This window comes from Homo sapiens, chromosome 5, assembly GCF_000001405.40.
Source record: "Homo sapiens chromosome 5, GRCh38.p14 Primary Assembly".
In the NCBI taxonomy this organism is placed as follows: domain Eukaryota; kingdom Metazoa; phylum Chordata; class Mammalia; order Primates; family Hominidae; genus Homo; species Homo sapiens.
In genome coordinates this window covers 94,075,190-94,094,190 of record NC_000005.10, presented here as the reverse complement: position 1 = coordinate 94,094,190, position 19,001 = coordinate 94,075,190, and the positions used below count along the sequence as shown (strand labels likewise).

Here is a 19,001-nt window from a genome sequence, read left to right as displayed (position 1 = left end):
TTGTTTAAGCAACCCAGTCTATGCAGTTTTGTTATGGCAGCCTGACTAGACTAATACAAATTGTAATACCATGAATTGGGATGTTGCTCTACCAAATACCTTAAAATGTACATGTGGCTTTGGAACTGGAAAATAGAGAGGGCCTGGAGAACAGAGTGTCAAACCAAAGGAGATTATTCTTGAACCTTAATGATGGAGTGGAATTTGCCTTTCTAAGTTTGGCACTGGTTTGGGGCATCACCCTTTTCTTCCTTCTTTCTAATATCTTTCTAAGTCTCCCTTTTGGAATGGGAATGTCTATTGTTTGCCTGTCCCACCGTTGTATTTTGGAAATACATAACTTGTCAGGTTTCACAGGTTTACAGCTGGAGAGGAATTTTGCTGTAGGGTGAATCATACCTCGTTCTTACCCATACCTAATTTAGATGATATTTAGATGAAACTTTGAACATTAGGCATTAGAGTTGATGATGGAATCAGTTAAGAATTTTGGGGCTGTTGGGATGTAATGAATGCATTTTGCATGTGATAAGGACATGAATTTTGAGGAGGCCAGTGGCAGAATGCTATTGACTGAATTGAATTTCCCCAAAATTTGTATGTTGAAGCCATAACCTACAGTGTAACTGTATTTGGAGTAAGGAAGTCATTAAGGTTAAATGAGGTCATAAAGGTGGGACCCTGATCCACTAGGATTAGTGTCCTTATCAGAAGAGACACCAGAGAGCTCTCCCTTTCTCCAGTAAGAATGCAGTCTTCTGAAAGGCAGAAAGAGAGCCTTCACCAGAAACTGGTCCTTTTATATCTTTTTCTGGAACTTCTAGCCTCCAGACTGTAAGAAAACAAATTTCTGTTGTTTAACCCACCCTGTGTATGGTATTTTGTATGGCCGCTCAAGCAGATTAATGTACTAATTGATAGCTAGTCTTTTTTGTTGTTGTTAATCAGCAGTTAGATTATTTGTGATCTAGTAGAGCACGGTTTCCTATATATTACTTTTAAAGTTGAGTCATCTGAAATTTTTTAAAAACTTGAAGAAATGTATCAGAAGGACCTCAATGAAGACTTTTAGATTATATATCTTAAATGACTGAGCAAACAACACAGGTATATAAAAGTAGAAGGAAAGATGAAATGAAAGGTTATAGAAAAATAATATACCTGTGTTCATGTTTTAAGAAGATGCAATACAGGTTTTCCCCCTATATTTAGAAAAGAGTTCAATTGAAAATATTTACCTTCTAATAAGATTTATCACAGATTTAAAGAGCTGTGTCCTTTAGAACATTTTAAACAATGAATTTACCCATAACCTGCTACATTGAGGTATTTGTAGGGCTGTAGAGTTAAAGGATGTTTCAATTAGGTATAAAAAGCAAAGGAGCATCTAATAGAACTTAAACTATTAGATATATATTCATCCATAATTATGTGTGTATATATGTTCCTACTGTTTTCTAGGCATGGTGAAAGCATTTTGGTAGACATCTTTTTAGTTGAAAATAGAAAAATCTAGGACAGAATCCATATTTGAGGAACTAAGTATAATATTTGAATTATAAGCATTTAATTAAGTTTTTTACTTACAGAACTGAAATGGAATAACATTATAGAAATTTACAGATAAGATTTCAAGAAAATGTATAACAGAAAAATGAAAGACACAAAAATAAGACTTGGAGTTATGTGTTGGCAAGGAACATAATTACAAGTAGTGACATTAGAGTTAGTCCTAGATAGTCATGATATATCAGGAACCATGCTATCCAAACTTTGCTGTGGCACAGGAAGATACATCATGATTTTTAAATGAAGAAATTTCAAGCACAAGGATATGTACATAGATGGTAAAGACCTAAGAGCAGAGGGAAATATCATATTTAGAAGTTTTATCATAGCTCACCGTAGCCTTGACCTCTCAGGCTCAAGCAATCCTACCACCTCAGACTCCTGAGTAGTTGGGACCACAGGCATGTGCCACCACACCTGGCTAATTTTTTGTATTTTTTTTTTTTTTTGGAAAGACAAGGTTTTGTTTTGTTGGCCAGGCTGGTCAAACGATCCTCCTGCTTCAACCTCCCAAAATGCTGGGATTACAGGTGTGAGCCACTGCACCCTGCCTATTATTTTTGTAATGCTAAGTGCTTTGGAGAGGTGTCAGTACTTGTGCCAGTATAAGAAAGTCATAGTTCAACTGTTGCAAAGTGGAGATAATCATGAAAGCTTGGTTTTGGAAAGTATTTTTGACCCGAGTCTACTTTCTGAAGGTTTACTATTTTCTTGGATCATTGGAGTCATATTTTTATTAATGGTATGTCTGTTTTTGGCCTAGATGTTGCTAAGCTGTATAGGAGAATATCAGTCAATTATACTCTCTATAATGTTACATAGAGTAGACTTTACAAATTGGAGACCCCCAAACTAAGTGAGCGTCCACAATCTTAAATTTTTAAAAATTAGTTTCCATCTAATTTAAGTAAAAATTGGGCTTTTGATTTCTCCTGAAAAATACGAAGTTCCAGTCACACTGTGGCTCCATTCTATATGGGAACAGTGTGGCAAGTCGGAACTCCCTTGAGATGAGCCATATGTTTTCCAGTTTGCTTCAGTTTCCACTCTTCATTCAGTATAAGCTATGACTTACAGGACTTCACTGCTTATGAACAAAGTTGATTTCACTGGAGGCCATTTGAGCCTCTTCTCTCTGGCCTTGAAGCATTAATGATCTGTATCCTGTTCTTTGATGGTCTTTAACTACTTTCTTCAAGGTGGCCAATATGTTAAATCCATTTGTGCTAAGTATTTGACAGGTGGTTGTGACTAGAATATTATTTATAGGTAATAACTCATTATTTTGAAACAGTGAGTGATTGTAATGGTGAAGTTTTATTTGTATTAGGAATACTGCAATAACTGCTAAGAACTTAGACATTTCAGTTTCATAATTGAAAACAAACTATTTAAAACAACCTTATTTATTCTGGATATATTTCCTCAACAAGAAACATGTATAATTATTTTTATCAAAACAAGCATATGTGTTTGTGTTTTTAATTATTTTAATTACAATATAAAGTTTCTGTCTTGCGCGTCCACTTCCTTTCTCTTTCTCTCTTGAAATGAAGAAAGACTTCAGTCAGGTCAACCCTTAATAATGAACTGAATTACATAAGCTAATTTCTCACTATGTTTTTTTTAATTCAAAGACTGTTAAAGCATTCCTATTTTGATAAATCCAAAGGAAGCGCCTTCTTTACATGGAAAATAAATTGTTGCTGAATTGGAAAATTACTAGGCAATTTAGTGATGATAATTTTAGTGATGATATGGGATGCAAGGCTGGTTCAACATACACAAATCAATAAATGTAATCCATCACATACACAGAACCAATGACAAAAACCACATGTTATCTCAATAGATGCAGAAAAGGCCTTCGATAAAATTAAACACTGCTTCATGCTAAAAACTCTCAATAAACTAGGTATTGATGGAATGTATCTCAAAATAATAAGAGTTATTTATGACAGACCCACAGCCAATATCATACTGAATGGGCAAAAGCTGGAAACATTCCCTTTGAAAACTGGCACAAGACAAGGATGCCCTCTCTCACCACTCCTATTCAACATAGTGTTGGAAATTGTAGCCAGGGCAATCAGAAAAGAAAAATAAATAAAGGGTATTCAAATAGCAAGAGAGGAAGTCAAATTGTATCTGTTTGCAGATGACATGATTATATATTTAGAAAACCCCATCATCTCATCCCAAAATCTCCTTAAGCTGATAAGCAACTTCAACAAATTCTCAGGATACAAAATCAATGTGCAGAAATCACAAGCATTCTTATATACCAATAATAGACAAACAGAGAGCCAAATCATAGTGAATTCCCATTCACAATTGCTACAAAGAGAATAAAATACCTAGGAATACAACTTACAAGGGATGTGAAGGACTTCTTCAAGGAGAACTACAAACCACTGCTCAAGGAAATAAGAGAGGACACAAACAAATGGAAAAACATTCCATGCTCATAGATAGGAAGAATCAATATTGATTCATTTTTAAGAATTCATTTTCTGAGATTGATTTCCTTATTCAATTGAATATCTTGTCAGATGAATATTTATTCCAGAGTTTTTATATTTTAGTTCTTGCTTTTTTTTCTGGATTGCTCTTATTCAGAACTGACTGAAAGTTTTGTTGGTTCATTGATTAAATCATAGTAAGATTCTTGAGTTTAAGAAGTCAGCTCCAAAATAATGATTGTGTAAATAGTCGTTTTGAAAGGGAAAGAATGGATTTTGCTATGTTTGGAATTATTTCAGAACTTTCCAGAAGCCTGGCATCTATTGTATAGTATATAACTACCATTACAATAGAAACCAGAATTGTGAAAGAGCTCCTTTCTATTCCCTTTCAGTTCTGTGATTTTGTGTTTGGAATCTTCGTTTAAACTTGCTTTATTAGAATATGTTTGTATACTTAGTTATCTGCAAAAGGTAAGCACTGGAGGCTTACAGCTTACTCTGGGATCCCTCTGCAGTGTGTGTGTGTGTGTGTGTGTGTGTGTGTGTGTGTGTGTGTGTGTGTATAAACGGTTTTAAACCAATAGTTATTAAAATATATGAGTATTTTTAGTAAAAACAAAACCCCTTAACCACATCGAGAGCTATGCCACAGGTTTTTAAAAAGCTGTCCGAATTTATCGATATCCAGATTTCAGGTATTTATTTAAAGACAAAATAGTACCTGCGGTCTTCTAGCAAACTGAGTGGATAATATTTCAAAGGAACAAAAATAAAGACATTTAAAGTTAAGCATAGGCCTTTAAATATATTCTTAGACTAAGCGATAGTGCTAGTTCTTTGTCAGTCCAGGCAGCTTTATAATTTTCTCACTGCTGATTTGTGTACCAATAAAGGACACTTGAAACAACATCTGTTTTTCAGTGAAAGGAAGTTTAACTCTCATGCAGAAAAAGCAGTATTTTCAGCATTTGTCACTTAAACAAATAGAAATGAGTTTAACAAAATGTTTGGTTCAGACAAAGCACCAAATAAATGTTTTATGCTTGTTTTATTCTTATTCTAACATCAAGTCCTCCCTCCAGTGGCTGCTGTTACAGCATTTTCCTTTTTCACCTTATTTTGGAAAAACAAGGAAAATCATTATTTTTTCTCGGAATTGAAGTCCATTTTTACATCATGTTGAAGGACTGAGAGATAACCGTCTGTGGGAAACTTTCTTTTATAATTAAATGAACCCATCCTTTAGCAACCAAAGGGACAGATTATTCTGAATTGAATTCTCAGCCTTCATTTTTCGTTTGCAAGGTGCTTATAACTGCCCCTTAGCCCAGCATTTTAAAAAATTTAATTTCTTATACATCTTCAAAGGCTGATTTTACTTATTATACTTACTAGTGGAAATATGCCAAAGAAAAGTGCTTAAATGACACTTGAGATTTTCAAAAGGGCTTACTTTTATTTTATTTTACATTTTATTACTTTTTTGAGACAGGGTCTTGCTCTGTTGCCCAGGCTGGAGCACAGTGGCATGATCATGGCTCAGTGTAACGTCAAACTCCTGATATCTGCTGCCTCACCCTCCCAAGTAGCTGGGACTACAAGCACATGCCAATGCATCTGGCTAATTTTTAAATTTTTTGTAGAGATACCGTCTTGCTATGTTGCCAGGGCTGGTCTTGAACTCCTGGCCTCAAGCAATCCTCCCGCCTTGGCCTCCCAAGGTGCTGGGGTTATAGGTGTCAGCCACTGTGCCTGGCCCAATAGTTGCATTTTAAAATATTTTATTATAAGATGTAGGGCATTATTATTTTTTAAGTCAAGTTTTAAACAATATTTATAGTTTGTCTTTTGTAATAGCGGATGTAAAAGTTTCTGAGGTAATAAATTTTTACTCAAAATACTAGTTCCGTTTGAAAACAGGCAAGGAATCAATTGGGTTTTAGTAACAATATGTTATTGATATATAGCTGCTCTGAGGTTTACTCAGTACCTGTTTATCCTTTTTTAGAATAACTGCTTCTATCAGTTTTACTCATCAGCAGAACCTCCAACTTTCTCACTAAATAGATGGAACGGCACTGTCAGCATTATCCCTAAGAAATATGTCCCAAAGAACAAATTATAAAAGGCAATGCCACTAAAATTGTAGTATGGTCATGAGTCACTTAATGTTGGGGATATTTTCTGAGAAATGTGTTGTTAGGTGATTTCATTGTTGTGCGAACAGCATAGAGTGTACTTACACACACCTAGATGTTATAGTCTGTTACACACCTGGGCTACATATGGTATATATTGCTCCAAGGCTCCAAACCTATATGACATGTTACTATGCTGAATACCATAGGCAATGGTAACACAGTGGAATTTGTTTATTTAAACGTATATAAACATAGAAAAGGTACAGTAAAAATATAGCATGAAATATTTTTAAAAAAGGAACACCTTTATAGACCACTTAATGGAGCTTGCAGGCCTGGAAGTTGCTCTGAGTGAGTAAGTGAGTGGTGAGTGAATGTGAAGGCCTAGGACATTACTGTATACTACTGTAGACTTTATAAACACTGTACACTTAGGCTACACAAAATATATACAACTAGTTTTATTCAATAATAAACTAGCTTACTGTAACTTTTTTACTTTACAGTACACTTAGGCTACATGAAATATATACAACTAGTTTTATTCAATAATAAACTAGCTTACTGTAACTTTCTTACTTTTATAAATTTTAAAATTAATTTTTTTTTAAGAGATGGGATTTTATTCTGCTGCCCAGGTGGAGTGCAGTGGGTGATCATAGCTCACTGCAGATTCAAACTCTTGGGCTCAAGCCATCCTCCTGCCTTAGCCCCCCGAGTAGGTGGGATTACAAAGCGCGTCACCATGCCACATCAACTTTTTGACTTTTTTGTAATAATACTTAGCTTAAAACACATATTGTTCAGCTGTACAAAAGTATTTTCTTTCTTTATATCCTTATTTTGTAAGCTTTTTTCTATTTTCAAAGTTTATTTTTAAAACATTTTTGCCAAAAATGAAGACACAAACATACGTATTAGCCCAGGCCTACCCAGGGTCAGGATCATCAATAACACTGTCTTCTACTTCTACATCTTGTCCCGCTGGAAGATCTTCAGGCCAGCAACGCATATGGAGCTGCTATTTCCTATGATAACAATGCCTTCTTCTGGAATACTTTGTGAAGGACCTGCCAGAGGCTGTTTTACAGTTAACTTTTTTATTTTTTAAATAAGCAGTACACTTTACGTGAAAAGTATTGTGTAGTAAAAACATAGTCACCAGCAGGGGTCAGTGGCTCACTCCTGTAATCCCAGCACTTTGGGAGGCTGAGGCTTGTGGATCACCAGAGGTCAGGAGTTCAAGACCAGCCTGGCCACTGTGGTGAAACCCCGTCTCTACTAAAAATACAAATATTAGCCAGGCGTGGTGGCGGGCACCTGTAATCTCAGCTACTCGGGAGTCTGAGGCAGGAGAATCGCTTGAATCCAGGAGGCAGAGGTTGCAGTGAGCTGAGATCGTGCCATTGCACTCCAGCCTGGGCATCAGGAGCAAAACTACATGTCAAAAAAACAAAAACCAAACACATAGTCACCTAGTCGTTTATTATCTTTATCAAGTATTTACGTACTATATGTATTTGTATATGCTAAACTTTGATATGACTGGCAGTGCAGTATGTTTGTTTATACCAGCATCACCACAAACACATGAGTAATGTGTTGTATCATGATGTTATGCCAGCTATGATGTCACTAGGTGGTAGGAATTTTTCAGCTTCCTTATAATCCTATGGGGCCACTGTCTTAATATGCATTCTGTCATTAACCAAAATGTTGTTATGTGTTGTGTGACTGTATTTCTTTTGTTAATATTTTTGTCACTTATTTAAAGAACATATTGTTGATAAAAAAGATTGTGTGCAACCAAGGTTATTGTTGATTATATGTATGTGATATACTGATATAAAAGTGGCCTCCATATCTGTAATGCTTATGCAAGTTATATAGTATAATATAATTAACACCTATAAATTTACCCCTGAATCCAAGATTCAAAACACTATCAATAACTTGCATTGACTTATGTGCTTCTTCCCATCTCATGCCTTCTGTTCTTTCCCAGTGGTAATAACTATTGAATTTTGCATTTATTTTTTCTCTTGATTTTTCTTACGGTTTTATCACAATTTGTGATACTAATAATTTGTTTTAGTTTAGCTCAATATAAATGATATTGTTCTGTATGTAGTGTTCTAAGATTTGGTTTCCTCGCTAGTATTTTTGGAAAATTCATCTACGTTTTTGAGTGTAGTTGTGCTTCATTCATTTTTACCACTGTGTAATACTCATCTTTGCCCTGTTAATGTACTACAGTATATTTGCTCTCCTATAATTGGAGAACAGTTTTTTTTCCATTTGTTGTAGCCAAATTCTAAGATGGTCCCCAGTGATCTTTGCTTCTTGATATTCATGCCTTTGTATAAACTTCTACCACATTGAGTAGGGCTGCCTTCTGCCAGTAGGATGTCAAGGAAATGATGGTGAGACTTCTTCAGCTTTCCGCTTGCTTTACTGGATCTATCTTTCTTGAGAAAGCCCTCCCACATGGGCTTCTGCACAGATCTGTTTGAGTATGGGAGGCCCGTAACAACAATCAGTACCAATCATTTATTTATGTGAGTGAGCCATCTTGGAAGTGAATCCTCTGTCCCCAGTCAAACCTTCAGATGATTGCAGAACTTGCCAATATTCTGACTGCAATCTCATGAACTTGATTGAGAACTTCCCAGCTGAGCTGCTCCTAAATTTCTGATCTACAGAAACTGGGATTTTACAAATATTTATTGTTGCTTTGTGACACTGTGTTTTGAGGTAATTTGTTATGTAGTTACAGATAATGAATAAACTGACTGTTTTGATGATGGAAACATTTCGTGAACATTTTTATGTCTGTCCCCTGGTGTACATGTATAAGATCAGGTAGTGGACCAAGGTGTGAGATTGCTGGATAACTTGGATATCTCATGCTAGTTTTTTCCAGAGTAGTTTAATTTATCTTTTGACCAGAAACATGAATAAGAATCTGTATTATTCTGCATTCTTTTTAACTTTTGGTATTGTCGGACTTCTTAATTTTTTCTAATAAGTGTAAATATTTCATTGTGGTTGTATTCCTTGCCCCAACATCAAAGTAGTAGTCTCCTGTATTTTTCCCTAAGAGGTTTAAAGTTTGAGTTTCACATTTGTACCCTTAAACCATTTGAAATTGATCATGTATGAAGTGAGATAGGTATCTAATTTATTTCTTTTTCTTTTTTTAAAATTGTGCAGTTAACCAGTTTTTTCCAATTGTTAAAAAAATCCCTGTTTTCCCCAGTGATATGATGGTGTCATCTGTGTCATATGGATCTGTTATGTGGCTCTGTTTTGGAGTTCCATCCTGTTCTATTTGTCAATTTGTTTATTCTAGTATTAATGGCATGCTTTCTTAATTACTGTGAAACCTGGCAAGGCAATTCTTCCTATCACATTCTTTAGGAGTGTCTTATCAGTTCTTGGCGATTCTCTTTCCATGTAACTTTTTGAATTAGTTTTTCAAGTTCTGTGAAAAACATTTTGGGGTTTGAGTAGAATTCCCTTAGATCTACATATAAAGTAGAGGGAAATTGATATTGTCACACTGGTGAGTCTTTCTATTCATAGATACAGTATATTTTTTGTATTTCAGTCTTCTTTAATGTATTTCAGTAGCATTTTATCATTTTCTGAATATAGGTATAACATCTTTTGTTGGATTTATTTTAATCATGTAAGTTTTTAATTTTTGCTATTTTCTTTTCTTTTTTTTTTTTTTTTTTTGAGATGAAGTTTTGCTCCTGTTGCCCAGATTGGAGCGCAGTAGTGCAATCTGTGCTCCCTGCGACCTCTGCCTCTTGGGTTCAAGTGATTCTCCTGCATCAGCTTGCCAAGTAGCTGGGATTACAGGTGCCTGCCACCATGCCCGGCTAATTTTTGTATACTCAGTAGAGATGGGGTTTCACCGTATTGACCAGGCTGGTCTTGAACTCCCGACCTCAGGTGGATCCACCTGCCTTGGCTTCCCAAAGTGCTGGGATTACAGGCGTGAGCCACTGTGCCTGGCCAATTTTTGCTATTATTAATGATGTATTAAAAAACTGTGCTTTATAACTGATTGTTGCTAGTATTTGTAAATACAATTTTTTTAAAAAATATAAATCTTAGAGCAAGCCATCTTGTTGAATTCTCTTTTTATTCCTAATGATACAGAGATTCTTGTTTTTTTTTTTTTAGAGGACCTTGTTTTTTGATTCTTTTTGTTGTTTTAGATAGTTATATCATTTGAAAATAATGATAACTTTGATTTCCTTTTTAAAATTGTTACTGTGTTTTTATTTATTTTCAGTGTCCTACTGCATTGGATAGAATGTCAAACAAACTTTGAATAGAAGTGGTAATAGTAAAGTGGTAATGATGGGCATTCTTTTCTGGTTCTTGATTTTGAAGAGACTTTTACAAATATTTCATCATTAAGAGTAATTTTGTTGTAAGTGGTTATTTTTGTTTGCTTGTTTTTTTAACCTTTTTGTCAGCTTACAGACGTTTCCTTTGATTCCTAGTTTTCTATGACTTTTTTTCCAAAAATAGGTTTTGAATTTTATCAAATGCTTTTCTGTAGATATTGAAGTTATTATGGTTTTCTTTCTTTATATTCGTGAGTGGAATTTATAGATATTCTAATGTTTTGTATTGTGCTTCCTAGGGTTTACTACATAGGAGGATTCCTTGGGGGACTTGGCTGTAATGTTGGAAGGAGAAGTCTACTTGTAAAATTCTTGACTCTTATGATCATAGGAAGGGACTTTATCATTTTGTGCTTATGTAGAAAATACTAATGAGAGCCATTTGGCATACTGTGTTTAAGCATAGGTCTAATAATATAAATGGCTAACATTCAGCAAAGTGTCCTTGTGTTGGCAACTTCAGTGTCACAGAGTTTATTTCCTGTAACTAGCAGTATGGCTAAGCGATGGTGGTCTTTTGTGGGAAAAAAATATTTTGTAGAAAGCAGGAGGATTCGGAGCTTTGATTGGTTTTGGAACAGAAGAATTTTCCTGCTTCAAGTCCTTTGTTAATTTAGGTAAGATATGTATTATGTGTTTTGTTTTCTGGATAAAGTAAATAACCACTGTAACTTATATGGTAGTTTAAAAATGTGACTTGAAGTTTCAAATTTCTAATTCTCTTTTTTTAAGATCAGATATTTGTAGTATCACAGCAATATGAAGCCTTCTCTGAGTTTATCCTCCTGCTGGTCTCAGCATGTGAGGATTATTTAAATATACAAACATGAAATGCTATAAAGTATTATCACTTCATAAAGAATTGGGAAATTCTAGAAGCCAAAAAAAAAAAATCTATTCTGAAGGCACTTAAATTACATTCCCACTTGTTAACACATTTAGGTAAAATCAGACTTCACTGAAATTTTCCCCTTGAATAAATAGTAAGGAGTGCACTGTCAGTAGATACTGGATTTGAGTGGTACTTAAATGCCTTGTTTGCAGTACAATTATGATCTGCACAAAACTTAAATGTGCCATTAAACTTTATTGTTGGTGTCATTCATATGGCTTACTAGGCTTAATCAGCTGCTTGATTATATGCTCAAGTTTGTCTTCATTTTTCTTTTCTGTAGCAAATGGTACATTTCTAACTTCGAAGTAATTTGGTACAATGTCTGGGATCAATTATGATAATGATCAAAATAATAACAATAAAGTTATTACCAAATTTCAATTCTTGTTAGAAATTGGGTGGGATTGGGATGCTTTTAGGTGGTATGTGCTTAGGGGATTAACTGAATCATGACCAAAGTGAATTAGTGCTTCTACCAGGTTTTCATTGGAATTTGTATGCGAGGGATACTAATGGGCAAGGGAGGCAAATTACCATTGACAGAGAACTGCCAATGCAGAGAACTAGAACAAGCTAGACCAGTGCACTGTGATTTACAAAATCTTTATATAATGCTCCTCTTTTATACCTAGAAAATAATATGTTTGTTCTTAATATCTAGCTAGAGTATGCCTAGACAATTGCTAGCCTGGCTCTGGAGAGAGGGGTGATTAGGACATTACAAGAGAGAAGTTCTTTAAATGAGTCTGCCTGAAGTCTACTTCTTGCTTCTGTTTTATAGAACGTAAAGGGAAAGGTGAGTGGTTAGTGAGACAGTCAAGATTTTTTTTTTTTGAGACTGCCTTGACCTTTGGCATTAGAGCTGTAGAAAAGAGTTGGAGAGAGAACCATTTAATACATAGAGACACTACCCCAATGCAAGTGTATGTCTTTGAACCATTGGAATCATCACCTCAAAAAGAAACTACATACCTATTAACAGTCACACCCCATTTTTCTCTTCCCCCGACTCCTGAAAACTATTAGTCAACTTCCTATTTCTATGGATTTACCTGTTCTGGACATTTCATATAAATGGAATCGTACAATATGTGTGGTTTTTTTTGGTAATTGGCTTCATTTTGTAATTGTAATTAGCACATAATATTTTCATTTATGTCATAGCAAGTATCGGTACTTCATTCCTTTCTATTAAAGAATAATATCCTATTGTATGGATATACCATATTTTGTTTATCCATTCATCAGTTGACAGTCAGGTTGTTTCAACTTGTTGGCAATTATGAATAATGCTTCTGCGAACATTTGTGCATAAGTTTTGGTGGGGACATGTATTTTCATTTCTCTTGGGTATATACCCAGAAGTAGAATTGCTGGGTCATATGGTAACTCTGTGTGTAATATTTTGAGGAACTGCTCAACTGTTTTCTAAAGTGGCTGCATCATACCAGCAATTGTTGTCACACTAGCAATATATCAGGTATCCAGTTTCTTCTCATTGTCACAAACCTTGATTTATATTCCTTTTTGATTATAGCCATGCTAGTTATTGTGCATTAGGTATCTCATGTGGTTTTGATTTGCATTTTTATAATGACTAATGATATTGAGCATCTTTTATGTGCTTTTTGGCCATTTGTATATTTGAAGAAATGTATACTTATATAATCTGCCCACTTTAAAATTTTTTTATTATTGAGTTGCAAGAGTTCTTTATATATTCTGGATACATCTGGTCTCTTAACATCACAATTTTTTTTGCTTAATATTCAGAAAACCGTTAGAAAAGGACATTGTTATAGCTTAGATTTTTTGGAAGCAGATGCTGAGACAGAATTTGGGGTATAAAATATTTTTAGAGATCAGGACTTGCGAAAGGAAGGAGAACAGGATTGGTCAGAGGGAAAAGTTGAATTTACATGGAGACCTGGCAAAACCTCAACCAACCTGGCAGCAAGCTCTGGAGCAAATATTGCCTATCGGGGTTGTCCTGCATCAGGCTGAAATGGCTGGGCCTTCATATTACCACTTGACTTAATCACTGAATGAGGGTCAGCAGTGGAAAGGTATGACCTAGGATGAAGCAGCACTTTGCACCTGAGGCCAGCTCTGAAGTGATAAACAGATGGAGTCTGTTTGCTAACTGCACTCTCTAGCTGAGCAGCACATTCTCCTTGAAGGGGCATCTGGATGGTTCACATGCATATTATATTTTAAAATCTATGTTGAACCTCGAGTTCACTAAGTTTAACAGAGATTCTGGGAGAATGTTTATGGGATGAGAAAATTGAAAATTTGATACCGATTTTGCAAATGTGTTATTACTGTTATTTCATGGTATAGGCTGCTTTGAAATCTTCTGAAGATAATTTGGCCTGGAGTTATGTACATTTATAATATTGTTTATGTTTTATTATTTATTTTTACTATAGAATTAGAGTCTCTTAAGTAGTTTATATGATGCTCATAATTGCCTCATATAATAGCAATTTTTTATGTTTGTTTGACATACTCTGTTTTTCTAAAATTTTGAGTGTGGTATATTCATTTTGAGAATTATTTTATCTTTGGCCATAGTTTTCCCATATCTGCTACATATTATGAAAACCTCATAAAGGGCTATTTAAATTTTTTTCTTTTGAAATTTGATTCAGAATAGAGAATCATCTTAGTCTTTGTTTAATTTCTTAAGTTTTAACATTGTCACAGATATTCTAAGATTTTATATTCCCGTCTTGTTGAGTTTCTGTCTTTTTGCTAGCCAAAAAGCAATGCAATACCTAAACAGATGATTACCAATTTGGGGACCTATTAAAAATACATAGTAGTGCAATACTATTTCTTTTAAAATACTTTTATTTGATATCTCTTAACTTTTGGCCCTTTTTTCAGATGCTTGTTTTGCCAAAGTATTGGGAGAGATATGATAAGTAATTTTTATCAGTCTTAATTCTGAATAGCAAACTAAATATACTAAGATAGTTTTGGTTGACAACTTTAGTCTGTAGATATCTATGTCCAATTTGCCCAAACTCCAAATTGTAATACTTCCTAATAACAGAAATTAGTACATAACAGTAGGTGTGAATTTTCTGCAGAATGAAGAAACTGAAATTATTTTTCTGGTGAAGTTGTGTTGTTTGGCTGTATCAACATGGTAGAATAGAAGAAACTCATTCATAATTAGGAGTCAGAAGACCTGAGTTAGAATCTCAGCTACCCCTTAACATCTGAGATGCCTTAACCAGGCTCACTTAGCTTTTCAAAGCCCACAATGCCTTATCTCCATAAAATGCCTACCCCTGACAGTTGTGGCAATGACCTAATCAGATAATGGATAAGAATAGAACTGGTCATCTTGTGACCAATGTATACATTTATGAAATAGTTGGAAGAGTGTTCTTCCTTAGGCAAATGAAGGTGGAACCCACATATGTGATCTTTGTTCAAGCATGCATTTTAATAAGATTAAAGGAATGTAAAGGAATGTAAATATAATGAAATGAATGTAAGTATAACTTATGTCCAAAAATTAAGTTCCATTATAATTATTTTCAATATAGTCTTGGAAACCCAAGTTAACAGATATTTGTTGTGAGACTTTATTATTTGTGCATAGAGTTCATCCAAGTGATGCATATTAAAAGGTTTTTATTTCTGTGAATTGATTGATTTTGGTATTCTGGCAGTTTGAGCACAAATTAGTTGGAATCTAGTTATTTCAGATTTTATGTGGATTACTAATATTTTTAAAGGGATTTATAGTTTGTAAAATGCTTTCATATACATTTTTTCATGTAATCTTCATAATAGTCCTGCAAAGGTAACTGCTCTTATTTTCATGATTCTTCCCATTACTTAGGTTAGAGAAGTTGTAACTTTCTCAAGGTCACTTAGCTACTAGATGGTGGAACTGAAATTAAAAACCTAGATTTCTCATTCCAAACCTACTATATCATGTTGCTTGGGAAACTAAGGAATTATTTTAGATATACTTGGATTGGAACCTGGTATTCCTAGTCTCAGGAGCAAAGAGGTTTGGCTCCAAAACTTTGATCCAAACGCAATTTTGCATTTGTTATAAAAGCCACCATTTTCTACGCACCAGGGGCCCTTATTACCCTGGGCTTTGTCTCGTGTCTGCTCAGCCTGATGTCTTCATTCTTCAGCTTCTTTCCCAGTGCCCACACACCAACGTTTTTCTCACTGCAGCCTCAGAATAATGCTGTCCAGCATTACTATGAACTAGCCTTTGCTGATGAGCAACCGATGAATATTTTAACTGTAATTTGGGTGGGTCTTTTGGTTCCTTATAAATCCCTTGTGCCAATTCTATTTACTGTAATTTCAGTTGCAAGTAGGCTATTTTGAACTTGATTTCTAGAGTCTCACTTAGTGAGCATAGAATCTTTAGGGCTAGACTGGAACCAAACCAGTCCTGGGAACCTCAGAAAATTAACCCAATTTTACGTGTTCTGTGATATATTTTGTACTTTCATCAATGCATTCAGAATGTGAGATGAAAAGGGCTTCTGTTGCAAAATCACGTATATCTAGTTCGTATTTAATACCTGACTAAAAACAAACAAATGTAGAAAAAAATAAGGCTTTTGTGTATCTTTCTGTACATTTTATAAGTGCATATGCCACATTTTGTGCCAACGGGGCAAATAAGAAGTATTCTACTGTTTCATATTTTCAAATGCTGACTGGATAAAGATTACACATGACAAGTTATTTATAGCTTTATACATAGTAGATTCTCTGTTGGAATCATAGAAAGGAAAGGGATATGATAATTGCTTTGTGTAGTTCACAGAATAAAATGGCAAACTGAGATGTTTTGAATCTAGTTTGTACTGTAACCATTTCTAGGAAACCATATTTAAACAGCAGTGGTTATCATGAAGTATACAACATGTCAACTGTGTCCCAATTCACATCAGTAAAAACCTTCCACCGCTTTATTCTCTATAACCTAACCTCCATCAGATAATGCCAAATAAACTATGTCGAGTGCATGTATTAATATATATCAAATGTGCCAACAGCTTGCTGGCTGCATTTTCAGTAGTGTTTATCTGTGGTCATGCAGGTTATAACTCTGAATTTTTATTAGGAAAACTAAATTGAGAATTTATAATGTTCTTGATTGAGCTTCACCAGCTGTGCCACAGCCAGGAAAAATAACTCAGGAGGGTAAAAATCTAACACTATGTTAAGAGAGCAACAGACAAATTGCTTTTGCTTCATGCTTACCTGCTTTGCAACTGCTACTGTAAAGTTTAGGGTCACATGTAATAATTAATTTTTTTTTTTTTTTTGAGACAGAGTCTCGCTTTGTCAACCAGGCTGGAGTGCAGTGGTGTGATCTTGGCTCACTGCAACCTCTGCCTCCCAGGTTCAAGGGATTCTCCTGCCTCAGCCTCCCGAGTAGGTGGGACTACAGGCGTGTGCCACCACACTCGGCTGATTTTTGTGTTTTTAGTAGAAACGGGGTTTCACCATGTTAGCCAGGTTGGTCTCCATCTCCTGATGTCGTGATCTGCTTGCCTCAGCCTCCGAAAGTGCTGGGATTACAGGCGTGAGCCACCGCGCCCAGCCAATAGTCTTTTAACTTATATGTTATTACTCCAGCAAATTGCTTTGTGAGTTTTTAGGTTGTCTCATATAAAACATGATTATTAATTTTTATTTAATCTTCAGAATCTTGAAAGTGAATCATTGAAATATGAATTTTGATAATGACCCTAGCACTGAATACATATTTATAATTTTACCTTTGTTAAACCAGTCACAATGACATAATTATATGTATTGTTCTGTTCAGAAATCGGACAATTTGGGGCCAATGAAAAATAATCTAATAGTTTATATTTGGAAGAAATACTGAGTTAGTGAAGGGAAGTCTCCTGGAGGTAGTTAACTTAGTTGTAGAATATTTAGCAAAGGGTGCTGTGTGGAATTCCTCATTAAGAACATTTCTCTTTAATTTCTGCTACAAGATGATGTGTAATAAAAAGTTGCTGGTGAAATTTGTGCACTATCATGTGGGACTTCACTAATTCCTGAATGGAAATATATATCCCTTGCAGATATTTGTTTGTTTTGACATTATTGTAATTATCAGTCTAGGTCTGATGTATTTTCTTTGTGGCTGCTTGGCAGTTTGATTTGGCAGCTACAAAGTAAGCCATAGGAGGGCAGTGACCATATTTGTTTTACTCACCATAGTACCCCCAGAGTCTTGTACATTGCCTACCTTATATACTAGGATGTATTTCTTGAAGGGATATAGACACATTTTATTCATGTAGAAATTATAGAGTTTTGAGTTACCTATACAAAGAAGAAAAATAAGAGTCACTTATGCTAAGTGAAAGGGCTTTCCCAGTGAAAAGTAGCTACATTCTAGGTATTCCTTTTAGAATATCTCACACCATTGAGTAACAGTAAGATGGCTAGTTATAGAAATGATTGGCTATATATACCTTCTGTACTATTTAATGTTGAAGCGACATTTCGTAAATGAAGAAACCAAAGAATTTGGATATGACTGGCCACGGAGATGTTATTAAGTGATGAAGCCGTGATTTGTTTACAGCAATTAAAAAAAATAAGCTAACATGGATGTTGTGCACATAATTATGGATCAGACATTATATGAAATGTTTTACATTTAACCTCACTGTAACACTATGAGGGAAACATGATTATCATTTCCATTTTACAGATGTGGAAAATGAGGCCCAGAGAAGTTAAATAATTTGTCAAGGGCTCATCGGTAGTTCTTAGTGGAGCCAGAGTGCCCTTTCTCTTATAGCACATCACCTACAGTTAGACTTGACACAAGGGCAGCATTGATTATGGCCATTTGGAACATTCATAGTTTTAAATTATTTATTTTCAGTATTAGTTTTTTAAAAAGTATTTTCTGTTACATTCTGCTGATTATGGAAATAGATCTGTTTTTAAAGATAATTATAAAATGTACTGCTGAACGGAAACTGAAATTTACCTTATGGATAGCAAGTCAAATTTGATTCCTCAGAGGAATATTCAATCTTGTTATATTGTCATGAATGTAGTTTTTATATAATTTCATTAACAGTTTTGGATTAATGGATTAAATGTAGTTTAAATTTTCACATTGTAGGAGATACACTTTTTTTCCTTTTAAACTTTAGGAAAAATAGTTGCTTTACTGTTCATGGGGACCCTGGGAAAAGCCATTCCCATTAAAAAGGGAAGTTTTAATGCCTTCCCTTTGGCCAAAGTAGAGCAGAATTCGATTTTAATAAATCCTGATTTTATAGTATGGTTGTTTACTGGAGTGCCATTTAGAGAGGATGGCTTCCAGACACTGATGACATCGTTTCATTTAAAAAGGGCTAATTTTTCCCTGAAAGTTGTATTTTTAATTACACTATAGGAAATTTGTAGATACTTTATATATTTACGTATTTGCATCCTCCTATCTGCTTGTTCCAGAAGGAAGACATTCTGA

The 19,001-nt window shown here is 34.7% G+C and overlaps 1 protein-coding gene across 31 annotated transcripts in view; it reads left to right on the top strand.

The window, feature by feature from the left end:
• The window catches only part of ARB2A (ARB2 cotranscriptional regulator A), a 493,975-nt gene that overhangs the window by 17,509 nt on the left and 457,465 nt on the right, over window positions 1-19,001 (top strand). The window lies entirely within an intron of this gene.